This window comes from Homo sapiens, chromosome 12 (genome assembly GCF_000001405.40).
Source record: "Homo sapiens chromosome 12, GRCh38.p14 Primary Assembly".
In the NCBI taxonomy this organism is placed as follows: domain Eukaryota; kingdom Metazoa; phylum Chordata; class Mammalia; order Primates; family Hominidae; genus Homo; species Homo sapiens.
The window spans coordinates 24,992,228-25,018,990 of NC_000012.12; the positions used below are offsets into that span (position 1 = coordinate 24,992,228).

Below are 26,763 nucleotides of genomic sequence, written 5' to 3' on the forward strand. Positions count from 1 at the left end.
AGGTTATTTTAAATATTTTGCCTTTCCAAACATTAGTAAATTAGTGTATTTTTACATTTATCTTTGTAAATATGTGCAAGTATATTTGTAGGGTAATTTCTTAGGGAAAATTGGGTAGCCATCTGAAAAATAATGAAGGTATAGTTTCATCTCTCTATACAAAGATAAATTCCAAATATATTAAATCAAAGACACTAGAGAAAAACAGAGGAGAATGTCTTTATGATTTTTGAGTCACGAAAGCTTTCTAAGGCTAACACGAACTCAGAAGGTATAAGAAAGAAGATTGAAATTTGACTGCACATTTTTAAAAATCTGTGTGGCAAAAACACCATAAACAAAAAACACAAATAACACCTGGTGAAAATGTATTTGTAACACATCCTACAAAGAACTAAATCTTGTAATATGTAAAGAGCTTTTGTGTATTGATAAAATCAAGCCCCATTCAAAAATGACCAAAGCATACAAATAAAACATAGAAATGGAAATACAAATGGCTTTAAACACATGAAACCATATTCATAAGGAAAGAAATCACAAATTACACTGTTTTTTGGTCTTTTTTTTTTTCCTTTTTGTGGAGAATGGGGGGGGGGTCTCACTATATCACCCAGGCAGGTCTTGAACTCAAGCTATCCTCCTGCCTCTGCCTCCCTAAATGCTGGGATTACAGGTGTGAGTCACCATGCCTCTTGAGAAATGCATATTAAAATAATGAGATGCTATATTTCACCTATCAGATTGGCAAAGACCAACATATTGTGTTCGTGAGGGTGTGGGGAAACAAGCAGGCTCACAGATTGTTGGTGAGACTGTAAATTGGTACAACCTCTATGGAAACCAATTTGGCATCAGCTAGCAAACTTTTAAAACTAGCCAGGTTTAGTGGCTCACAACTGTAATCTCAACATTTTGGGAGGCCAAGGCAGGTAGACTCTTGAGCTTAGGAGTTTGAGACCAGCCTGGGCAACAGGGTGAAACCCTGTCTCTACTAAAAATACAAAAATTAGCTAGGTGTAGCATGGCTGTAGTTCCAGCTACTCGGGAGGCTGAGGTGGGAGGATCGGGCTTGAACCCAGGAGGTCAAGGCTGCAGTGAGCTGTGATTGCACCACTGCCCTATAGCCTGGGTGACAGAGTGAGACTTCCTTTCTCTCTCTCTCAAAAAAAAAATTTATATGAAAGTTAGTAGAGTTTTTTTTTCTTTTAGTCAAATCTGTTTATTTGGATTATCTGCATGTTCTTAACCAGAAGGAAATGCTACACAGAGTTGAAGAATAAAGACAAAATATTAAAAATTTAAGGTAGGTATTATGTTCTTTGTATAATGTGGATAACAGCCATATTGAGCTACGGAAAGTAACATGACAAAAGAATCTCTGAGTGTATATCACTCACGGTCCTTTAGGAAATCGATAGTACCTTTTTTTAAAAAAAAAAAAAAGGAGGCTGCAAAGAGTTTCAATTCTTGAAAGTGTAGGCAGGGTTAAGGGAAACAGCATGGGGTGGTGGGCAACCTCAGGTGCTGGCATCTGGCTCTAGGAAGCCATTACCCTCCCTGGCAAGAGGCAATGGAGAAAACACTTACAGAACCAAGTGAACACTGTCACTTTGGGAGAGGCCACCTGACAGGGGCTGTGGAAAAGCGTGAGCCACTGTCAGACAGAGACCTGGCAGGGTGGGAGCCAGGAGAACAAATGCTGCAGACTCTTCCTCCTCCTGGCCCTCCATCTGCTGGGCCCTCCCACTGGCCACATTCAATGGGAAATCAGAGGGCAAAGGAGCCAGACTGATGCTGTCAATAGAGGCCTGTCTCCTGGGATGCTGAACAAAGATGGGTTGCTCTTGCTCTGCATCCACGGGATAGATCCGGAAGGGCAACGGATGATTTCATTCAGTGTAATATGCATCTTGGTAATATATTCAGGGCCTTGCTTCATTTCCACCTTTCTCCAAAAACATATTATCACTTTTCTTTCAAAGTAATTACTTCTGTAGTAATCCTTTTTGGAATGGAAGCCATAGATCATTCAAACTCCCAATCCTTTTCTTTCCGAGACAGCATCTTTATATGAAAATTGTCATAGCATGATGTAGGCTGATTTAAAAAAAGAAGAAAAAAAGGCTTTCTGAAGAGACTGCATTTGCACATTAAAGTCCAATTAAAAGGCTGGGCACAGGCACTTTGGGAGGCCGAGGCAGGCAGATCACTTGAGGAGTTAGAGACCAGCCTGGACAACATAGTGAAATTCTGTCTCTACTAAAAATACAAAAATTAGCTGGGCATGTTGGCGCACGCCTGTAGTCCCACTTACTTGGGAGGCTGAGGCATGAGAATTGCCTGAACCAGGGAGGCAGAGGTTGCAGTGAGCCAAGATCACACCACTGCACTCCAGCTTGAGCAACAGAGCCAGAATCTGTCTCAAATAATAATAATAATGATACTTCATTTAAAAAAGCAACTTAAAGGCAATGATACCTAGAATATAAGCACATTAAAGAGTATATTATGAGAAATAAATAGTGCATTTTACATAGAGTGGGTTTTGAAAAATAAAAGTTATGTTTGGCCATGCATGTACTGGAGAAGGAGTCCATTATCTGGTTTTCTTCTTTTCTTTCCTTTGTTTGTTTTTATTATTGTTGTTTTTGAGACAGGGTGTTGCTCTGTCACCCAGGCTGGAGTGCAGTGGTGCAATCTCTACTGGCTAACTGCAGCCTCGACTTCCCAGACTCAAGCTTGATCCTCCCACTTCAGCCTCCCAAGCAGCGGGACTACAGGTGCGTGCCACCATGCCTGGCTAATTTATTTTTTACTATTTTATTTTATTTATTTATTTATTTTTTATTTTTATTTTTTATTGATCATTCTTGGGTGTTTCTCGCAGAGGGGGATTTGGCAGGGTCACAGGACAATAGTGGAGGGAAGGTCAGCAGATTTACTATTTTATTTTATTTTATTTTATTTTATTTGAGACAGAGTTTCACTCTTTGCCCAGACTGGTGTGCAATGGCTTGGCTCACTGCAACCTCCACCTTCTGGATTCAAGTGATTCTCCTGCCTCAGCCTCCTGAGTAGCTGAGTTTATAGGCATGCGCCACCCTGCCTGGCTAATTTTGTATTTTTGGTAGAGATAGGGTTTCTCTATGTTGCCCAGGTTGGTCTCAAACTCATGGGATCAAACAATCCACCTGCCTGGGCCTCTCAAAGTCCTGGGATTACAGGCATGAGCCACTGCACCTGGCCCCTTTCTTCTAATAGTGCCTCTCAACCATACACCTCCCACCTCATTTGTATTTGGTTAGACAAAGTGACTCCCTCAGATCAACCAGGGATTAATCCTGGAGCTCCAACACATATTTAAAACTACTGGCTTGATAGTCTAACAACATTGTAGATTACCTAGAGAGAAGCAGATACGTTATTTAAACGGATTTCTTGACCTATTTACATGATAAGATTTAATTTCCTTGAAATGCCATTTTGAAAACTGGGATTGGCATCCCTTACAGGTTCTCTAATTAGTTGCTTTCAGATTACTTGGCAAGTAAAGGACTATGTTGTTATGAACCCCACCTGCAGTATATCCCGAACAGGAATCTCCATCTTGGGTTTCTTTTTGTAAAGTCTGCATTTGACCCCTTTACACTCTTTTCCGTGTTCATAAACGTGCTCAGGGTTGGAAAAGCTGTTTCAGTAGAGATGGCATATTTCTGGTGGCATTCGGGGGCAGGTACAGGAGTTGCAGGCATCCATCGTATGCTGTCCAGCGTCTGCACGTTCCCTTGTTTGCTCCCAGTGGGTAGAGAACCCGGCATTGTGGGTACCTTATTAGAACTGTCAGGAGGTAATATTACATAAATAATGAAATAACATGTTAATGCAATTCATTACAGGTTCGTTGGAATTTATTGTTCAGGTTATTCCTTTCACTGCTCTGAGAAACATCAGGTATACTAGACTCACCTGAAGCAGGATGTAAGCGTATAATTTGTCAGACGGGCAATATGGTCTAGTGGATCCAGAATTTGAATATTATTTCTGGCTCTGCTGCTGGCTTCCTTTATGACTAGGAGGGAAATGTCTCTGGGTGTTGCCAGTTTCGGTATCTGTGGATTGATAAGCAGATCGCAAGCATGGATGTTATAATAGGTTATTTCATGGGAAATTAAACAGCAAATCTAATGAGAGGAGCGGGTTACTTGGTCATTTCTTTCTAGGTGCTATTTGGTGCTTTAAGAGGACCTCTAGTATTGGATAAGTTAAAGGAGTTTCAGAAAGTGCATCATAACAACATTACTGAGAGCTCAGAATGTGCTACATGGTTCTGAGGGCCATCTGCGTATTAACCTCATTTAATCCCTGCAGCACACCCGGAGGTCATTGCATGATATTGATGCAATTTTACAGATGAAGAAACTGAAGCACATATGGTTAAATAATTTGTCCAAGATCACAAAGCTAGTAAGCAGCAGAACTGGGGTTTGAACTCAGGTTATTTAAACTCAGAGCCCCAGTTCTTATTCCCCAGTATTTGACTCCCCTTTGCTCTCACCTGGTGATAGAAATGATAATGACCAGGCTGAGCGCAATGGCTCACACCTGTAATCCCAGCACCTTGGGAGACTGAGGCAGGTAGATCGCTTGAGCTCAGGAGTTTGAGACCAGCCTGGGCAACACAACAAAACCCCATCTCTACAAAAGATACAAAAATTAGCTGGCTGTGGTGGCATGCCCCTGTCATTTCAGTTACTTGGCAGGCTGAGGTGGGGGAGTGGCTTGAGCCCAGTAGGCAGAGATTGAAGTGAGCTGAGATCGTGCCACTGCACTCAAGCTTGGGCAACAAAGCAACACTCCATTTCCAAAAAACAAAAGAAAAAGTATGAGATTTAACTTAAAAATAATTTTCCTTCATCTGATTAGAAAGTATAATCAGGATGAGCTTTAGTGTGTTGTTTTTTGTAGAGCCGGGCGGGGACCGGGGGTGGGGGGGGGTCTCACCATGTTGCCCAGGCTGGTCTTGAACTCCTGGGCTCAAGCGATCCTCCCACCTCAGCCTCCCAAAGTGCTGGGATTACAGGTGAAAGACACTGCACCTGGACTATCTTTCTGTTATTGCTGTGGTGGGGAGCACACCAAAATAGTGCCTGTCATCCTCATCCTTCCTAGGCATCTTTCCCAGCACTGCTGCTGTGATTAGTACCTTAACTCCAGCCTAGGCAGGTGCAGTGCATCAGCGGCTCTCTTCTCTAGCTTCTTTTACCTCAGCCCAAGCCACTCTGTAGAAATGGGCTCCACCCATGTCATCTGACCTGTAGGTCTCCACTCTTTCTTCCCAGTTCTCAGATGGTTCTTGGAGCACTGGCGAAGTCAAGCGAAAATAAGGTGGTGAGTTTTCCCCAACGAAATAATTAAATTTTGGCTGATGCTGGCCTTTAGTCATCGAAGGCCGAGAAAGTACCGCCCTAACCAGGGAAAAGCAATATCAGATGTAGGCTGTTCTGTTGTGTCTCAACCTCAAAATGCTTGTGGCAAAAGGGACAAACCTCCAATAAGTCTATATTAGAGGTTCAACAGAGTTCATTGAAAACTTGAAACAAATCTGAAAAGAAAAACACTCTACAAATAGGGAAAAAAGATGGGTAGCTGAGAGTGATAAAGTGAGATTCCCCAGATATGTTGCTGTCACCACAGGCAAATCTCAAATTGTTTTCAATGGAGCTTTTGGAAATTTAAATTAATCCTGCCATTTTCAGGCTTGGTCGTTTGGAATGTGTGTTAGTGAAACGCAGTGATGTAGTTTTATAGACTGTAAGAACCTTGGAGGCACCTGAATTCTTGAAGCTAGAGATTTATTGTAGGTCTTCTCTTGTTCTCTGAGAAGAAAACCAGACTTCATATAACAAGAAGTGAGACAGAAGAACAGTTTTCAGAAGCATGTGTCACTCTGCTATTTTAGGAATTGTTCCAATAAGAGATGTTTATAGTAAGCTTGGTGTGACCCAGCCAAGAAGCTTAATATAACAAGGTTAACTGAATTGTGGGAGGAAAGTTTCTAGCCTATACCAGCTTGCATTTATTAATAATCAGAAAGGTTGCGGATGACAGACTTGCTGAGCATTTACTAAATCTGGTACTTGTGGTTTGCAAATCATGTGATTAACAGCTGCTATCATCTATCCTAGAAACGGCAGGAAGAAGTGTTATTATTTTATCACATAAAATAGTAGTCACAAAGAGAATGAAAACAGTTTAATTTGGCAGATATAAAATTCACTGGTTAAGCAGAAAACCATGCTCTGCCCTCCCACTGAGCTCACTAAAGATGGGTTTCCTGGGAATGTCTCAGTGAACAGATGTTTCTTCTTAGGTTTTGATGAAGAGTTTAGTGGCATCTAATCATTAGTGAAGGGTTGTTTTGGCAAAAGGAATCTCTTGTCTATCTACACACATACTTAAATTTTTTTTTTTACGTATATTAAGGATTTTGCATTAATTACCAATAGGATCTCACATAGATGAATCATGAATGATTGACTGGCTTTCCTAATCAAGTTTTGAATGATTTTAAAAATCAGCCTGCCTGATCTAAGGTTTGGAAGTTCAATGCTCAATAAATAACTTTAGTAAAGGGAGGAAAACATTTTAAAGGAAAAAAACAGGAAAGATAATTACATTGTTAATCTGTTTGGAGTTAGAATTTGATTCAGAAAGATTTCTACAGAGCCTTTTGAATCACCCTGAAATCTGCCAGCTTTTTCCAGGATGCTGCTTTTGTACCTCTGTATACATCATATGCCATTCTTTGCAATAAAATGCAACTTTCTTAGTGATTGAATAATATAGATGTTGATAAACACAAATTATGTCATGTTGTTTACATATACATTCCTAAAGAATAAGAAATATTGTCTACATTGTACATACGTAGTAGATTAACTCATTGAAGTCAGAACAAATGTAGATTTCTATAAGTCCCAAAGAGTATGGATGTCTTAGAGGTTGATGTTGAAGTCTGCAGTTACACTGGTGGTGAAAATCAAATATATAACGAATAACTTTAGGTAAGAATCAAATCGGACTTGTTTTACAGATGTTGCCATGTGTTAGAGGATTTTACTTGTTGCTTTATAGTTTTGGATCGGGCAGATGGTTGAAAAGTGTTGATTCAAGAGCTTTGACTGTATGGAACAAGATAATTGAGGCAATAATAATAATGGGACTCAGAATCTATAAGCCAGAGCAATGAAGCATAGTTCAATCAATAGGAGGAATAAAAAAGATTAGCAACATAAGCAGTATCGATAATCTCTAACATCATTTTACATTACATTTAGCTCACATGAATCCAAGTGGAAATTCCTCTAACAGATTTATAGTTCCACTTCTTAATTTTCTGTTTATAACCCTAGAAATAGCAAACAATATGTATAACATTCTGTGCAGTGCATATAATAGCCACATAATAGATGCTCCTAAATTTTTCCTAGCCTCACTCCCAAGCTGGGATAATTTCCTATTATAGGTTCTCATGGCTCCTGACTATGTAATTATTTATTTGACATTTTTCAGGTTGTCAGATTTAGCTAAAAAAAAAAAAAATACAAGACAGCCAGTGAAATTTGAATTTCAAATAAACAACAAATAATTTTCCAGTATAACTATGTCCTGTGCAACATTTGGGGGCATACTTACACTAAAAAATTAGTCATTGTTTATCTGAGATTAAAATTTTATTGGGCTTCCTAAATTTAACCTAATAGCTCTAGTGGCTTACTTGTTCATAGCTGTATCTTCCACAGACTACGAGTTTCAGGATATTGTTTTCTTCATCATTGTATCCCCAGTATTTGCACAGGGCTTAGCACTTAGCAGAAATTCAATAAATATTGGTTGGCTGTCTAAAGGGATGGATATTAAAACTACTTTAATATATTAGATACATTGGCTCACACCAGTAATTCCAGCACTTTGGGAGGCTGTGTTGGGTGGATTACTTTAGCTCAGGAGTTTGTGACCAGCCTGGGCAACATGGGGAAACCCCATCTCTACCAAAAATACAAAAGATTAGCTGGGCATAGTGGCATGTGCCTGTGATCCTAGCTATTGAGGAAGCTGAGGTGGGAGGATCACCTGAGCCTGGGAGGTGGAGGTTCCAGTGAGCCGAGATTGTGCCACTGCACTCCAGCCTGGGTGACAGAGGGGGCACCATATCAAAAAAAAATGTATTTTAATTAAAAGTATACAAACTGAGCCAGGTGTGGTAATCCCAGCTACTTGGGAGGCTGAGGCAGGAGGATCACTTGAACCTAGGAGTTTGAGGCCGCAATGTGCTATGATCACACCTGTGAATAGCCACGGCTCTACAGCCTGGGTAACAGAGACCCAGTCTCTACAAAATTAAAAATAATTTTAAAAACCATGGAAAATGCAACTGAGGTTCATAGAACTTGAAAGCAAAAGAAGCAGTTCTTGCCATTGGGTTATCTACAAGTGTACCATCTTTATGTAGTAAATAATCAACTAAGATCGCTAAGAGGGAAATTCCTTTTAAAAGAGATAGACTCCAAGCAACTGATTCTCCTAGTACAATTCACTTTCAGTTCTTAATTTTCACTTAATGCCTTTTCAAAGGCAGTTACTGTACAAAGCAAGTTGGGCTTGTATTTTTAAGTATTCTGGCAGATTGCAGCTAATCCTTTCTACCAGGATCGAAAATTAAAAAAGACGTTAAGAGGTTTAGACAGAAGAGACAGGAGATATTTCCAAGCTGCATATGGAGAAGATGACACAAATTTTGAAATCTTTATCACCCCATCTTATTTATTAAACTCCCACCCATGTTCTGCTCTATATTAGAAAAAGCAAAACAAGTTAATCTTATGCAGCTTTGGTAGCTCATGAAGAGCCATTGTTTTCAGTGCACTCTTTATAAGGTTTAGCTTATCAACCACAAAGCAGGGCTCACTTAGGTAAGTCAGGAAAGTTTAGAAGACAGTAGAAGAAAGCCTGGGAAACATGGTGAAACCCTGTCTCTACTAAAAGTACAAAAAAAATTAAAAAAAAATGCTAAGTGTGATGGTGCACGCCTGTGGTCCCAGCTACTTGAGAGGCTTAGGTAGGAGGATTGCTTGAGCCTGGGGAGTTGGAGGTTGCAATGAGCCATGAGTGCACCACTGCACTCCAGCCTGGGTAACAGACCAAGACCCTGTCTCGAAAATAAATAAACAAATGAAAACAGATGGTTAAAGGAAAAAAAATGCCTTGGAAATGCAAGTAGAAACATGTGCCTTATGTGCTAGGAACATTAATCTAGGTCAGTTACAAATGCCTACAAAGTGAGACTGTTTGTTATGGCTTGAACAGCCTACCACATCATCATTCAGTGACAGGAGGGGACAGGATTTGGGAGCATGAGTTTCCAGTTCTGGGGTCTCTTTTAGCCTCATGTCCAACCTGTGCCTAAATTCTCTGGTTCTATAAGGGAGAAACGGTCAACTCACATTGAGAACAATGACAGATACTTAACTACTCTTTTGGTTTTTTTTTTTTTTTTTGAGACAGAGTCTCGCTCTGTCACCCAGGCTGGAGTACAGTGGCACGATCTCAGCTCACTGCAACCTCTGCCTCCTGGGTTCAAGCAATTCTCCTGCCTCAGCCTCCTGAGTAGCTGGGATTACAGGCATGTACCAACCATGCCCTGCTAATTTTTGTATTTTTAGTAGAGACGGGGTTTCATCATGTTGGTCAGGCTGGTCTCGAACTCCTGACCTCGTGATCCACCCGCCTCAGCCCCCAAAGTGCTGGGATTACAGGCCATCGTGCCCGGCCTTAACTACTGTTTTATAAGGCTCTTTGCTCGACATAGGGAAGTCAGATGTGTTCCTGCCAAGTCAGTCAACTGTAGATTTGGAATGCTTTGTGTTCAAGGGTGAAGCCTCTTCTGTCATTACTGCTACTGCACTTCTACCTTCCCCCTGGAGCAACTGAGCAGCTCTTATTTATTCAAGGTGGGAATTTCTCCAGAAAAGGTGATCCTGAAAAGTAGTTGGGAGCCAACAATCACAGCAGCTGGGGGATAAGTCCATAAGCCCACTAATTATATACTTTATATATAATTGTAGATTATCAGTTGTGCCAACAATAATGTATTGAGTATCTAGAAAAAATCACATCATAGTTTTGAGTACAAGAATTAAAAAGTATTTTTGAGGAGAAGGCATGCACACACATTGGAAACAATCCAAGAATAGAAGACAACATTGAATTAAATGACAAAATGTGTGTTACAATTATAAATCCTAGGAGAGATCAGAAAGAATGGAGTCCCATGATTAAAAACTGATTCTAGAATTTCAAGAGAGGAGTGTATTTTAGACTTCACGTTGAGAGATCATTCTTCTTCTTCTTCTTCTTTTCTTTTTTTTTTTGGACAGAGTCTTGCTCTGTCCCCCCGGCTAGAGTGCCGTAGCATGATCTCAGCTCACTGCAACCTCTGCCTCCAATGTTGAAGCGATTCTCCTGCCTCAGCCTCCCAAGTAGCTGGGATTACAGTCGCCTGCCACCATGCCCAGCTAATTTTTGTATTTTTAGTAGAGATAGGGTTTCACCATGTTGGCCAAGCTGGTCTGGAACTCCTGACCTCAGGTGATTCACTCACCTTAGCCTCCCAAAGTGTTGGGATTACAGGCGTGAGCCACCATGCCCAGCCAAGAGATCATTCTTGAATAGAGGGAAAGAAGGGTATTGTCAGGAAACAATGTAAAGGTTGAGAGATGGTCATTACCTTAAGTGGTAAAGGATTCTGTTGGTGGAAACTGCACTGGCTAGAACTGGTGGTCCTCATATTGAAGATCAAGTAAGATTCAGAGGATTTTGAGTATTTTCTTCTTCCCAGTAATTCTAGATACCCCTTCCAATTATAGTACATTTAAAATTTCTGTATTATTGTTCATTCTCTATTAGGGGATTAAAAAAAAGATTCATGGAAATTTCTGTTAATGTCCTAAAAAATCATAGTTTTTGAAATCAGTAATTCCATAACTATTCAACTATTTGTTGTAACTATTGAAACTATTTTAACCTTTTGCCTAGAGTATTTAAAAAATATCTGTCTAATCTAATCTAATCTAATCTGTCCATCCATCCCTCTGTTGCCCAGGCTGGAGTACCTGTGGTGACACCTTCATGGCTCACTGAAGCCCTCCCATACTCAAGTGACCCTCCCACCCCCACCTCCTGAGTAGCTGGAACTACAGGCACGCACCACCACACCCAGCCTAGATTATTTTAAATCTTACTAGTTTAGGTAAAATTTTGAATGTATTTCCAAATTTCTGAATTACTATAAGAAGTGAGATTATGCCTTTTTTTTTAAAGGTCATATATCTTGCTACGCAATAAAACTATGCTGGAGTCAGACATTCTTTGACTCAAATCTTAGAGATGGGACCATTAGCAAATTACTTGGCCTCTTTGATTCTTAGTTTCCTTATCTATAAAAGGAGGATATTTCCACACAGCTGATAGGGTTTATGTGAAATTTAGACATAATACACATAAAACACCTAATATGGGGCATATTTAGTTAAGTTCTGAATAGAGGGCAACCAGTACAATACCAATGGTAGGTATTCAAATGAGAGATGTTAGCATCATTGTCACCTGCCCTATTATAAATAAAAAGCAATGTGGTTATCTAGCCTCTGGAGCTGGACTGCCTGCGTTAGAATCTGAGCTGTGGCATTTATTGGGGTGTGTTGCTTATTCTCTTTCTGTCAGAGAATGGAGAAAGCAGTAACGTTTATCTCAAAGAGTTGTTTTAAGGATGAAATGAGTTGATGGGTGTGAAGAGCTTAGTACCATGCCTGGCACTTGATAAATACTTTATACATGTTAGCTGTTATTTTCCTGAAATTTGAGGGCCAAAGTTAAATGCATGGAAAATTTGCTTAGAGAAACTGAGCATCTTGTCATGATCCCGCCAAAGTTGATTTGGGAATAAATTGCCTATTGCTAAATTATTGTTAGGAAAATACTGACTTTTAAACATGTATCTACTTTTGCCTATACTTTAGCCACTTCATCTGTATACTAGGAGGAAAGTCAACAATGGCCTCTCCAAGGAAGGTAACTGAGAAGCGGCATAACCCAGTGGAAAGCATCTGTAGAAAGATCAGAGCCATCCACAAGAGAGAAGCAATTTCAAATCCAATTCAGCAGATTATCAAATACCAATCTAGCAGTTTTGATAGCCCACAGACGAACACCAAGAAATATTTTGAAGAGGTACTGAGGAAAATGACTGCTGCTTGTGTTCCTACGCCCGGCTCTCATTGGTCAAGTTCTGAGGAAGTCGATGCCTTCATTTCATCGCCTCAAATAATATCTCCAAGAACCCCATCCACCTCTCACCTCAGCTCCCCTGAGACTGCAACATACTCTGTTATTCTCACAAGTTCTGAAAACGTCTCAAAGCCGAAGTCACAGAGCAACAAGAATTATACATCTTTGATGTCACAGATCAGAAAAGCAGAGTTTTTCTCTAACAAGGATTTGAATAACTATTGTAGTGAAAATAATTTTAGTACCTTAACACTTGACTTTGATTCCACCTTTGTTCAAAGCTTGAAGTGTTTTGATCCTCAGGATTCAGTGGTAAAAAAATTATCTCTGAATGAAGATGGTAAATATTCATCTTTTAATGTTTGTCCTTCCAATAGAGCAATAAACATATCTACTTTTAGAATACCTGAACTAAAAAAAAATCTACATTATTAAAGTTTGGATGGAATCATCCATCTTTCCCTTTCTGTTTTAACTATGTTTGTTTCCAGAACAAAACAGAACGTCATGATGGGAATACTTAGATATAGGGGAATATTTCCCTATATCTAAGGGGAAGGCTGTTTATTATGATAGGTTTTCTTTGTTAAACCAAAAAAAAAAAAGGAAAATTAATCATTATAGCACAGAAAGCATCAGGATTTACAAACTTTTTCTTCTAATAGGATGGAAACAAGAAGCTGATGATGGTAAAGAAGATGTAATATACAGCATCAACAGGGCCTGTAAAGAAGAGGCACTCACAAGTATTTTTAATGCATGTGACATCAAACGGAAAGGTAAGCTAAAAATTATCTGTTTAAACATTTGGTAGGACTGTCCAAGTCATCTGAACTTTCTATTGTGAGAGAAAGGGAAATGATTTGTGTGTGGGTCTCATTGTCTGCGTCTACATATGTGATGGATGCCACCTAATTTGGGAATAAGGTTTGCTCTGTAGGGCTTGGTTATTTCGTTATAATTTCCCTGTACCTGTTTTGCATCAGCATATTTTAACAGTGACTTGAATGATTCTTTTTGAGCTTATCAGCTGACTTACCATCTTTATTTATTGAAACTACTTACATGTCGTAGGTGGCGCCCCACAGGAAATATGCTTTTCAAATATGTAAAACCACTATACAAAATTTTAGTTAATTTTGGGCTTTCACTTCTGTTTTTCTTTAATTTTTATTTTTGAGATGTGTTTTTTAAAAAATTTCCAGACCTAAAACTACAAAAACCCTAGGAAATACCATTCTGGACATTGGCCTTGGCAAATAATTTATTAATAAGTTCCCAAAAGCAATTGCAACAAAACAAAAATTGACAAGCGGGACCTAATTAACCTCTGCACAGCAAAAGAAACTGTCAATAGAGTAAATAAACAATCTACAGAGAGGTAGAAGATATTCACAACCATGCATGTGACAAAAGTCTAACATCCAGACTCTGTAAGAAACTTAAACAATTCAACAAACAAAAAATAACCTCATTAAAAAGTGGGCAAAGGACATGAACAGACACTTCTCAAAAGAAGACATACATGCAGCCAACAAATATATGAAAAAATACTCATCATTACTAATTATTAGAGAAATGCAAATCAAAACTGCAATGAGATACCATCTCACACCAGTCAGAATGGGTACTATTAAAAAGTCAAAAACCAACAGATGTCGGTGAGGTTATCGAGAAAAGAGAACACTTACACATTGCTGGTGGGAATATAAATTAGTTCAGCCACTGTGGACAGCAGTGTGGAGATTCCTCAAAGAATTTAGAGCTACCATTTGAGCCAGCAATCTGTCCACTGGGTATGTACCCAAAGGAATGTAAATCATTCTACCTGAAAGACATATGCACTTATATGTTCATCACAGCACTGTTCACAGTAGAAAAGACATGGAATCAACCCAAATGACCATGAACAGAAGACTGGATAAATAAAATGTGGTACCTACACACCATGGAATACTATGCAGCCAAAAAAACAAACAAGATCATGTCCTTTGCTGCAACATGGATGCAGCTGGAGGCTATTATCCTAAGCGAACTAATGCAGGAACAGAAAACCAAACACTGCATGTTCTCAATTTTAAGTGGGAGTTAGACATTGTATATACATGGAAACAAAGATGGGAACAATAGGTATGGGGACTACTTGAGCAGGGAGGCATGGGCTGAAAAACTACCAGTCACATATTATGCTCAGTACGTGGGTGATGGGATCATTTGTACACTAAACCTCAGCAACACGCAATTTACTCATGTAGCAAACCTGCACATACACCCCCTGAACCTAAAAGTTGAGAGAAAAAAAAATTCCACAAGTAATTTTAAGTATATAAATGATTCATGCTCATTTGTAATAAAATTAATAATATACTGACAAGCGAAAAGAAGGAAAAAAAATTGGTAATCCTGTTTCCCTGAGTAACCATTGTTAGTGACTTGTTGTATATCTTTCCACAATTCCTGTCAATATGGTTTTGTTTTATTTGAATTCATAATTGTTTGTTATAGAACATTTCAAACATATACAGAGGTAGAATTCTATGATGAATCCTTATGTATTTGTCATAACCAATTATGTCTCATTTCTAACCCTGCTCATTTTCCTCTCCTCTACTCTGGATTATTTTGAGGCAAATCGCAGAGATCATAGTATTTCATCCACAAATATTTCAGTACATATTTCTAAAAGATAATTGACTAATTTAAAACACAACTACAATGCCATTATCATGATTTTAAAAGTAATATACTTTTCTAATATTATCAAATGTCTTGTTAGTAGTCAAAATTTCTCATTTGTGTGATAGATACATATCCTTTTTTTCTTAAACAGTTTTACTGTTCAAGCCAATATCCAAGAAATGTTTATTCATTGCAGTTTGTTGTCTGTCTTATCTCTGTGTTTCGCTTTCCATCTGTTTTTTGCATTTTGTTGTCTGTTAAAGAAACCCATCCATTGATTGATTGAGACAGAGTCTCACTCTTGTCACCTAGGCCGGAGTGCAGTGGTGTGATCTTGGCTCACTGCAACCTCTGCCACCCGGGTTCAAGTGATTCTCCTGCCTCAGCCTCTCAAGTAGCTGGGATTACAGGCGCCCACCACTACACCCAGCTAATTTTTGTATTTTTAGTAGAAATGGGGTTTCACCATGTTGGCCAGGCTAGTCTCGAACTCCTGACCTCAGGTGATCCACTCACCTCGGCTTCCCAAAGTGTTGGGATTACAGGTGTGAGCCACTGCACCCAGCCCATTCTTTTATTTCACAGTTTACCACAATCTGAAATTTGGTGATTGTGTATCTGTAGGAACACAAGCTGTTTCTCTGTCTCCTATGTTTAGAAATATGATCAGATAAAAGTTTGAGGGTTTTTATTTTATTTTTTTTTATTTTATGGGGGCAAGAATTCTAATAGGTTGGTACAAATGTGACTGCAGTTTTTAACCATTGAGAGTAATGGCAAAAACCACAACTACTTTTGCATCAACCTAAATACATAGATGGTGTTATGTGTTTTCAACAGAAGGCAACTATTGATGATGAAGGCCTAGACCTATATTTTCATTAGATGTTGCAAATGGTAATATTCTATCATTCCTTCCTAATGTATCACCTGAAATACATCTATAATGAGAAACTCTATTCCGCGTTATGAACTATTTTGCTATACTGGTGTCCTGAAGGAGAGAGGCAGGATAAAAGCTTGATTGATTCTCTTTACCTACCAGTTTTGAAAATACTAAATTGGGGCTGGGTGGGGTGGCTCATACCTGTAATCCCAGCACTTTAGGAGGCCAAGGTGGAGGCTCTGCTTGAGCCCAGGAGTTTGAGACTACCCTGGGAAACATAGTGAAACCATGTCTCCACTAAAAATAGAAAAATTTAGGCGGAGTGCAGTGCTTCAAGCCTGTAATCCCAGCACTTTGGGAGGCTGAGGTGGGCAGATCACTTGAAGCCAGGAATTTGAGACCAGCCTAGCCAACATGGTGAAACCCCACCTCTACTAAAAATATAAAAATTACCCAGGCGTGGTGGCACACACTTGTAATCCCAGCTACTAGGGAGGCTGAGGCACAAGAAGCGTTTGAACTCAGGAGTTGGAGGCTGCAGTAAGCTGAGATGGTGCCACTGCACTCCAGCCTGGGAGACAAAGCGAAACTCCATCTCAAAATAAAAGAAAAATTAGCTGAGCAACATAATTGCTAAAGATAGTGTAAGGTGTTTTCTTGGTCATCCTTTTTTTTAAAAAAGTGATATACTAATGTATTCTCTAGTATGTGTGAGAATGTTTTCAAACTTGTTTTATAATCTGCTTTTTCTCATTTAATAATTTGAGTACCTGTCTGCATCAAAAAATTTTCTTCATATGCTATACCATTTTTGATGTAACATGTTTAACCAATCCATGTCAATTGGATATTAATTTTTTCTGCTTTAAAAATTATAATATGCCAGACATGGTAGCTCATGCCTGTAATCCCAGCAATTTTGGAAACCAAGGTGGGAAGATCACTTGAGGCCAGGAGTTCAAGACCAGCCTGGACAACCTAGCAAGACCCTGTCTCTACAAAAAATATTTTAAAAATTAGCTAGGCATGGTGGCACACGCCTGTAATCCCAGCTACTCAGGAGGCTGAGGTGGGAGGATGCCTTGAGCCAAGGAGGCTGAGGCTGCAATGAGCTATGATCATGCCAATGCATTCTAGCCTGGGCAACAGAGTGAGACTCTGTCTCAAAAAATCCCAAAACTATAATAAATATTTTACATATAAAATCACTGTATTGAACACTTGTAGCAAAATATTTGCATGTACCCTTATTTATTTCCTTAGGATGAGTGGGGCTTATTTGTTCCCAGAGAGCTTCTCTGCTTGGACAGGATTTAAGAAAGTAATTCTCTGAAGAAAATAAGAAAGCTTCACTGATGGGAAATGGGATGTGTATTAGCCAGGGCTCTCTGGTGGGAAGAGATATTTATATTTGTATCTGTCAATTTAATCTAGCTAGCTAAAGAGACTTATTATAAGGAATTGGGTCATGCGATCATGGAGGCGGGCAAGTCCCAAGATCTGCAGGATGTCAGCAAGCCAGGGATTCAGTAGATCCAACAGTTTGGTCCCATTCCAAGTCCACAGGCCTAAGAACCAGGAGAGCTGCTGGTGCAGTTCCCATCCAAAAGCCAGCAGGCTTGAAGCAAGGAAGAGCCAACATTTCAATTCAAGTCTAGAAGCAGGAAAAAAAAAAAAATCAATGTCCCAGTTGGAAGGAAGGCAGGCAGGAGAGATTCTCTGTTACCTGGGAGAAGGTCAGCTTGTTTGTTCTATTCAGGCCTTCAACTGGTTGGATGAGGCCCACCTGCACTAGATGGACAATCTGCTTTACTTGGTCTATAGATTTAAATGTTAATATCATCCAAAAATACCCTCAGAGAGAGACCCAAAATAATGTATAACCAAATATGTAGGTACCCATTGATACATGAAATTAACCATTACAGGAGGCCTTTCTAGTTTTGATATGACAGAGGGCTTAGAGTTTCAGTGGAGGAAAATATGATAAATGATTATTGCTGGCTTTCCAGCTTGCTTTCCAGTTCTTCTACAAATAAAATAATGCAATTCTCTGCTGGGTACAGTGACTCACACCTGTAATCTCAGCACTTTGGGAGGCCCAGGCAGGTGGATCCCTTAAGTCCAGAAGTTCAAGACCAGCCTGGGCAACATGGTGGAATCCCATCTGTACAAAAAATACAAAAATTAGCTGGGTGTGGTGGCACATGCCTGTAGTCCCAGCTACTAGGGAGGCTGAGGTGGGAGGATTGCTTAAGCCCAAGAGATTGAGGTTGCAGTGAACCAGGAGCATTCCAGCTGAGCAACATAGCAAGACCCTGTGTCAAAAAACAAACAAAAAAAAAAAACAGTTCTCTCTCTAAATAACTGTATTAGTCATTTTATTTCTCTTTCTAATAGTGTCACATCTAAATGACATGTTAAGTTTAAATAATGTTAAAGTTATTAAAAACTTTGAAGTTATTCAGCCTCCTTTATGAGTATCTCCTCCTTCTAATTAAGAGACTTTTTTTTTTCTGATGTCATGGTCTATCCTTATTTCCTTAAGGGAAGAACCTTCTCTGTGGCATCTGCCCTCTCAAACTTCTACTTAATTTTTCCCTCTCCTTTGCAAGTAGCCAGCCCAAGGCAGGCCTTTGATGGGAGTAAAAGAAAAGTCTTATGTTTAAAAAAGATTGGTGTGTCAATGACTAACATAGTTTGGATGATTTTCTTTTCTGAATGTGATAGTAGGGATGACTGTCTAAAAATGCCTCCTCCACCCCCTAAAAAGTAGAAATTTTCACTTGAGATTGAAATTTTAACTAAAGTAGAGAAAAAAACTTCCTTCATTGAAGGCTTTTCAAGGAACTGAAAGGAAAAAATGTAATGTCATTTTGGTCACCTCCCATGAGAAATTATTGATTACATATATCATCAATATTTAAACCTCGCAACTCTGTGTGATAGGTATCATCGTCCCCATCTCAGATAAAGAAACAGGTTCAGAGAGGTTAATATTCCCAAAGCTACACAGCTGGTAATCTTCAGAGCCAAGATTTGACACTAGGTCCATTAGACTTTAGCCCAAGGCCAGTGTTCTTTACAATATACCATGCCAGCTCCGCAGGACTGCCAGGGTTATATATCATGTTTCTAGGATCAGGAAACATTAAAGAGATAGGTGCTTCACTTGTGAAAAATATAACTTTTCTGTCTTTCAGAACTGATCTGCTCTTCTTTTTCCAAAGGCTCAGTCGGAGTGGCCAAAATAATCAATTTCCTGAGACAAACAACTAGCCAAAATTCTGAAGACAGTGGCCTTGAGCAGTTGTGGAACATGCTTGATCCTGAGAAGAGAGACCCACATGTGGACCTGGAAACTTTCCAGGCCATGATGAAAGACTGGATGGCTTACTGTGGAAACACATGGTAATCAGAGTCCTAGTGGGATGCAGTTTAAGGTTCTATTTTAACAACTGATTATAATTATGCTAATCACTGTTTCCTGTGTTGATGGAAATACTATTGTCCAGTGCTTTAGCATGCATTAGAATCACCTGAATGATGTTAAACCTGATTGCTGGGGTCCCACCATCATGATTCAGCAGATCTGGGGTGAAGCCTGATAATTTACATTCTAACAAGTTTCCGATGATATTGATGCTGGGAGTGGGCTGGACATGCTTTGGGAACCACTGCTGTCATTCATTTCTTGTGATTAGTGGGGAGCACATGTGATACTCTCACAGAGAATTGAGCTGACATACGAGTCAGGTGAATTATTGATACTATCAAATCTCCAAATGTATTTAAATTCAATAATAGACTCCCTTTTAAGGGCAGTGGGGCTAGTCAGTGAATGTAATTTGGAATCCTAGAATATAGGGAGGCTAAGGGGAACAAGAAAGAATAGTAGAATAGGAAAAAGAAAAAGGTAAAGGAGGAGAAGGGCACCCCATGATCTCAGGTGCCCTTGGCAGATGCTGGAGATGTGTGTCTTCTTCCACAGAAAGCGAATTCCCTTTTTTTTTTTTTTTTTTTTTTTTTTCTGAGACGGAGTTTCACTCTGTTGCCCAGGCTGGAATACAGTGATGCAATCTCTGCTCACTGCAACCGCTGCCTCCCGGGTTCAAGCAATTCTCCCGCCACACCCTCCAGAGTAGCTGGAATCACAGGTGTGTGCCACCATGCCCGGCTAATGCTTGTATTTTTAGTAGAGAAGGGGTTTCACCATGTTGTCCAGGCTGGTCTCGAACTCCTGATCTCAGCTGATCTGCCCACCTCGGCCTCCCAAAGTGCTGGGATTACAGGTGTGAGCCACCCACTGCACCTAGCCAAGAAACCTAATTCCTATGCCTCCTATTCAGCCACCAATCTTCAGCTATCTGCTGATGCATGCTAGGATTTGCTTAAAGAAAATGTTGACAGGGCGCGATGGCTCACACCTGTAATCCCAGCATTTTGGGAGGCTGAGGCAGGTGGAACAGCTGAGGTTGGCAGTTGGAGACCAGCCAGGCCAACGTGGTGAAACCCTGTCTCTACTAAAAATACAAAAATTAGCTGGGCGTGGTGGTTCACGCCTGTGATCCCAATCACGTGGGAAGCTGAGGCGGGAGAATTGCTTGAACCTGGGAGGTGGAGGTTGAAGTGAGCCGAGATCGTGCCATAGCACTCTAGCCTAGGCAACAGAGACTCCGTCTCAAAAAGAGAGAAAATGTCAAGCCCAAGGAACGGAAAAACTTACCAGATTTCTGGTAGGATTAGGATGTATAGATAACTTAAGAAAATATGACTGAAATGTTGCATGCCATACACAGGTTATTCATGAAGTCAAGATAAATATATAGAAATAAGTAATGTTAGTGTAATCAAAAACTGCAAATACAGATATAACATTTCTACCCATGAGTTTAACAAAGATTTTTAAAAAATGACTCTAGCCCATGTGGTGGACTGTGAAAAGGGTGGAGAAATAAGCCCTCCCATATATTATTGGTAGTAGTGCAAGTTAGCATAGCTTTTTTAAGAGCAATTTAGGAATGTGTATCAGGCCCTTAAAAATATGCAGTCTTGGCCGGGGGTGGTGGCTCGTGCCTGTAATCCCAGCACTTTGGAAGGCCAAGGCGGGAGCATCACCTGAGGCCAGGAGTTTGAGACCAGTCTGGGCAACTTAGCAAGATTCTGTCTCTACAAAAAAATTTTAAAATTAGCCAGGAGTGGTGGCATGCGCCTGTAGTCCAGGCTACTTGTGAGGCTGAAGCAGGAGGATTGCTTGAGCCCAGGAGTTTGAGGCTGCAGTAAGCTGTGACAGAGCCACTACACTTCAGCCTGGGCAAGAGAGCAAGGCCCTGTCTCCAAAACAAAAACAAAAGACAAAAGGCAGGCTCTTTGAGAAGTAATGTAACTTTAAGAAAGATAAGAAAGATAATTAATTGTAAATGCTAATATAGAAGGTAGAAGGTAGTTTATGACAGTGATAAATACAAGCAATCTAGATATTTAAAAAGAGACAATTGGACAAATTATAGTGCTTCCATACACTAAAATACTAGTCATTTAAAGTAATAATATTTGATAAGAGAAATTAATATGTAATTACTTCAAATAAATAGGTCATAGATCTATTCATGTAGTATAATCCCATTTTTGGAAGAAATAAAAATATGCATAGGAAAATATTAGAAAGAATTTATGCCAAAACGATTATTTTTGCATAATGGTTTTAATTTTTTGTTTTCTTTTTCTTTTTTTTTTTTTTTTTTTTTTTTTTGAGACAGAGTCTCGCTCTGTTGCCCAGGCTGGAGTGCAGTGGCGCAATCTCGGCTCACTGCAAGCTCCGCCTCCAGGGTTCATGCCATTCTCCTGCCTCAGCCTCCCGAGTAGCTGGGACTACAGGCTCCTGCCACCATGCCCAGCTAATTTTTTATATTTTTTAGTAGAGACGGGGTTTCACCGTGTTAGCCAGGATGGTCTCGATCTCCTGACCTCGTGATCTGCCCTCCTCTGCCTCCCAAAGTGCTGGGATTACAGGCGTGAGCCACCAGGCCCGGCCTAATTTTTTGTTTTCTTAAGAATTTAATATTTCCAAAATATATGTTTGTATAATAAAAATATTAATAATTATAAAACAGCATGAAGACAAAAGAAAAAACATTTTTATAACAAGTGTAAAGGAAAAATCATGGGCGCTAGAAATACAGAAGATAAGAGCAGAAACTCAGAAATGGGGATAGGTGTGAACACGAGAATAGTCAGAACTCTGTGTGAGTTCTTTCATTCCCCCAACTTGTGACAGACATCTCACAATGACAAACAATGAGATGTAAACATATATTTGTTGAATTTTGTGGCTATTCCAGAGAGAAGCTTGAGGATTTGGTGCTTAGGTTAAGTAACAAAACTTAAATTATAATATAGGACTCTGAAAGGAAATGGTTGAAATGTTAATATGTTTATTTTGCAGTTCAAGCTAGAGTGTGTGTGCTACACAGCCTGTACAGAGGGTTTCCCAGATTCCAGAAGTAAAATGCCCAAAGTAAAATTAGTCGAGGTTCTATTTGATTCTCCATGAGAAAGGGAAAATGTATCCCTGTCAATGTATCCCAAAGTATTCATTGTTCGTGTATTTCCTTCTCAATCTCTTAAGCCCCATGATCTTGCAACCTCCACAAGTCTCCACTTACCAGTCCAACCTATGTCTATTTCCTAATCCACCGAGACCCCACATCTCCTAATCATACGCTGCCTGTGAGTTTTCTTTTTCATATTAGGTAAAAGTGTATGGATGGTGGAGGTAATGCCTAATGTACCACCTACATTAGAAACAGTTTCACTAGGAACACAGACTATTTTCTATCACTCTAAGTACCTAGCATAGTATTGAGCTCCAAATAGTTGTTGAATGAATATATATTTTTTTAACTCAGAAGGAATTACCTAAAAAGGAAAGTACAGAGCATAAATCTGAAAAAAAAAAAAAAAAAAAAAAAAGACAAAACTTGGTCAGGCAAAGAATCCTAGCTCACTGGTTTTGTTTTTTTTTTTTTTTTTTGGCTACAGGGAAGGAGTGAATCATAGATTAAGCAGCATCATCGATGATTCTGTTTGTGAACAGGATGGCATAAAATCAGATGGAACAAGTATGTATGTGTTTCTTCAGGATTGTTCTGTTTTCTTACGGTTTGTAGAAAATGATTTTTTTTCATAAAACTCTTGTATGTGTTTCAGTGAAGATGAGCACAGATATAACAGATTCTACATTGGGGAGCTTCGAGGCTTTGGGAGGAGAAACATCTAAAGGAGTCTTGTAAGCCTTCTTACTCTGCTTTCGCAAGTGTTTCAACTTCATTTTTCTTGTTTATTTCATAAATCTACGTATTTCAGTTACAATGAAGTCACTTTGCTCTTTTTTTGCAGTAGAGCTAGCATAACTGATTTTAAATTCTTCACTGATTCTAATAATGCCTGCATTAGAAACAGTTTCACTAGGAACACAAATTCTCGTATGACTAGTAATCCAAAATCACTTGCTCTCTCATGAAACCCTTCTCCCTCATTAATTTCCTGTGCTTTCTGTAGGGAAAAGTTCCACCTGAAGTAGGGTTATGATATTGACCTTACACTCTTTTGGAAATTATTTTAAAGCACTTCTTTAGTAGAATCTTTTAGGCATGAATGAGAAAAGCTGTTTTCCACGACATGTGTAAGTTTTGGGTATTAAGGAGAGTGATTCTGCCTCTGCTTTATTTTATCTTTGCCACTTCAGGTTTATCCGTAAAGAAAAGTGGTGTGGGCTGGGCGCGGTGCCTCACGCCTGTAATCCCAGCACTTGGGGAGGCCGAGGCGGATGGATCACTTGAAGTCAGAAGTTTGAGACCAGCCTGGCCCACATGGTGAAATGCTGTCTCTACCAAAAATACAAAAATTAGCCGGGCATGGTGGCACGTGCCCATAATCCCAGCTACTTGGGAGGCTGAGACACGAGAATGGCTTGAACCCGGAAGGTGGAGATTGCAGTGAGCTGATATCGTGCCATTGTGCTCTAGCCTGGGCGACAGAGCGAGACTCCATCTCAAAAAAAAAAAAGAAAAGTGGAGTGGGAACTATGTTCTCAACCTGAGCCCCGGGATAAGATAGCAAAAAAGAAAAAGAGACCTGGGGCTCCATGAAACACACAGTCCAGAATCTTAAAGGATTTGTGAACTGATATCATGGCAAATGATGCTCATAAACATTGACAAGTTATACAAAACATTAGGAAAGATGAGTACTGAATTGTGAGCTTCAGACTACAATGATAAGACTCTAGGAACTGTTTCCTAGGTAAACCTGCCGAGATCCCTTCGCTGAAAGAATATAGGCTGGGCACAGAGGCTCATGCCTGTAATCCCAGCACTTTGGGAGGCTGAAGCGGGCAGATCACTTGAGATCAGGAGTTCAAGACCAGCCTGGCCAACATGGTGAAACCCCATCTCTACTAAAAGTACAAAAATTAGCTGGGCATGGTGGTGCATGCCTGTAGTCCCAGCTACTCTGGAGGCTGAGGCAGGAGAATTGCTTGAATTTGGGAGGCGGAGGATCGTGCCACTGCACTCCATCTTGGGCGACAGAGCAAGACTCTGTCTCAAAAAATGAAAAAAAAAAAAAGAATATTGTGTCCATTTATTTCAGGATCTCTCATATTCCAGGCAGAAATAGGAACTCTTCGTTTAGAAGACAAATGTTGAGAGTGAAGGGGAAAAGAATCAACAAAAACTGTAGAAGTTGATTTTACATCTGGCAAATGATGGCTACTTGGAAATTTTGGGAAACATCTTTGATGCTATTGTAATAAAATCTGAATAGCTATTTATTATATACATTAATTATGTTTATGATGACAGATGAGGGTAAAGTTAAAAAAAAAAAAACTCACCAGAATATCAAAGTTTGGTTTGTTTAACCGTATACCTTATTTTATTAGAAGGAATTAGTGATGTGAAGGTTATTCTCATCTATTCTTTTACTTGCAGAGAGGTGTCTGATTTGATTGCCTACGTAGCAGACCTTCATTTCAACAAAAGAAAACTTGAGGAAGAAAATAATAAGTTTAAGTTGGCTTTAGAAACCCTGGAAGAAACTAACAGCCAGTTATCAGAGGACTGTACCGAATTGCGCCTTCAGGTAAAAAGGTGAGCCACAGTGGGGTCCAGTGTGCGGGGAACTTTCATTTCTTTTTTCTTTTTTTAAAAAACCTTTTAAATATTGAGAGTCACACAGCATAAAATTCATTCTCTTAAAGTATACAATTCAGTGTTTTTAGAGTATATTCTCTGGCTGGGCATGGTGACTCATGCCTGTAATCCCAGCACTTTGGGAGACCAAGGCAAGTGAATCACTTGAGATCAAAAGTTTGAGACCAGCCTGGCCAACATGGTGAAACTCCATCCCTACTGAAAATACAAACATTAGCTGGGCATGGTGGCACGAGCCTGTAATTCCAGCTATTCTGCAGGCTGAGGCAAGAAAATCGCTTGAATCTGGGAGGCAGAAGTTGCAGTAAGCCAAGATCGTGCCACTGCATTCCAGCTTAGGTGATAGAGCAAGACTCTGTCTCAAAAAAAAAACCAACAAAAAAAAAACTTGAGTATATTCTCAAGGTTGTGCAATTATCACCATTATCCAATTCCAGGATATTTTCACCACTCCAAAAAGAAACTCCATACTTACCAGCAGGCATGCTCCATTTCCTCTCTTCTTAGACCCTGGAAACCTCTATTCTACTTTCTGTCTCTGTAGATTAGCCTATTCTGGGCATTACATATAAATGGAATCATACAATATGTGAACTTTGGTGTGTAGCTTATTTCACTTAGCATAATGTTTTTAAGGTTCATCCATGTTGTAGCGTGTATTTCTACCTCATTTCTTTTTGGCTGAATAATATTCAGTTGCATAGATATATCAGATTTTGTTTATCCATTCTTCAGATGATGGACATTTGGAGTGTTTCCACTCTTTGGCTATTAGGAATAATGCTGCCATGAACATTTGTGCAGGAGTTTTTGAGTGGAAATGTTTCTTTCTTTCTTCTTTTTTTTTTTTTTTTTTTTGGAGACAGGGTGTCACTTTGACACCCAGGCTGTAGTGCAGCGGCACGATCTCAGCTCACTGCATGCAACCTCCGTCTCCTAGGCTCAAGTGATCTTCTGGCCTCACCCCCCACCCCTCAAGTAGCTGGGACTACTGGTGCATGCCACCATGCCTGACTAATTTTTGTGTTTTTGTAGAGACAAGGTCTTGCCATGTTGCCCAGGTTGGTCTACAATGCCTGGTCTCAAGCAATCTGCTCACCTCATCCTCCCAAAGTGCTGGGATTACAGGAGGGGGAGCCACTGTGCCCAGTCATATGTTTCACTAAAGCATTCTCATCCTCAAAATCTTTGACCTTGTCCAGTCCAGTCTCCAAACTAATCTTTAAAAAAATTGCTTACCTCAAGTCCTCTTCATTTCACAATTGGCTTATTTATTATTTAACTGAAATATAAAAATTCAAAGTTTCTTTAACAAAACTGCTTTGGATGAATATGTTGGTCAGGATTTTTGGTTGCAAGCACTGGAATCTAACTCTGGTTTAATAAGCAGTCAAGAAATATATCAGAAAGGAATTAAGTAACTCACATAATGGACAGAAAGGCTGGAGAATCCAGATGGGCAATCAGAATGCCACTGTCTACAAAATTAAGCCACGTGTCTTTCTCTTTTCTCCTTCCCCTAATCCTTTCTGAAGACTGTCTGTTTCCTTTGGGTTCCCGCAACCTAGTTTTGATATTGTCCAATTGTCCCATCATAGTGTAATTTGTTTTCTGTATTAACCATTGAGGTGGGAG

General features: G+C 39.7%; 1 protein-coding gene and 1 long non-coding RNA gene across 2 annotated transcripts in view, besides 2 other annotated features; one reads left to right on the forward strand and one right to left on the reverse strand.

The window, feature by feature from the left end:
- Positions 1 to 1,196: 1,196 nt before the first annotated feature.
- On the reverse strand, positions 1,197 to 5,238 carry LINC02909 (long intergenic non-protein coding RNA 2909). The gene is made up of 4 exons (NR_171024.1): positions 5,005 to 5,238; positions 3,970 to 4,112; positions 3,580 to 3,840; positions 1,197 to 2,100 (listed from the first exon to the last, which is right to left on the reverse strand). It is a non-coding gene; the product is annotated as a long intergenic non-protein coding RNA 2909 (long non-coding RNA).
- Positions 5,239 to 5,347: 109 nt separating this feature from the next.
- Positions 5,348 to 26,763, forward strand: part of IRAG2 (inositol 1,4,5-triphosphate receptor associated 2) — a 110,761-nt gene continuing 89,345 nt past the window's right edge. The window contains exons 1-7 of the mRNA NM_001394803.1: positions 5,348 to 5,391; positions 12,081 to 12,688; positions 13,014 to 13,127; positions 19,144 to 19,324; positions 22,955 to 23,034; positions 23,123 to 23,201; positions 24,907 to 25,065. Of these exons, the coding sequence (NP_001381732.1) occupies positions 12,115 to 12,688; positions 13,014 to 13,127; positions 19,144 to 19,324; positions 22,955 to 23,034; positions 23,123 to 23,201; positions 24,907 to 25,065 (1,187 nt within the window). The 5' untranslated portion in view covers positions 5,348 to 5,391; positions 12,081 to 12,114. The remainder of the gene's footprint in view (positions 5,392 to 12,080; positions 12,689 to 13,013; positions 13,128 to 19,143; positions 19,325 to 22,954; positions 23,035 to 23,122; positions 23,202 to 24,906; positions 25,066 to 26,763) is intronic.
- Positions 5,797 to 5,926: an enhancer, noted in NCBI's record as "active region_6111". NCBI's record gives its function as "activates an Ori minimal core promoter by ATAC-STARR-seq in GM12878 lymphoblastoid cells {active_cell/tissue: GM12878}" and the evidence as "EXISTENCE:reporter gene assay evidence [ECO:0000049][PMID:35858748]".
- Positions 6,177 to 6,286: an enhancer, noted in NCBI's record as "active region_6112". NCBI's record gives its function as "activates an Ori minimal core promoter by ATAC-STARR-seq in GM12878 lymphoblastoid cells {active_cell/tissue: GM12878}" and the evidence as "EXISTENCE:reporter gene assay evidence [ECO:0000049][PMID:35858748]".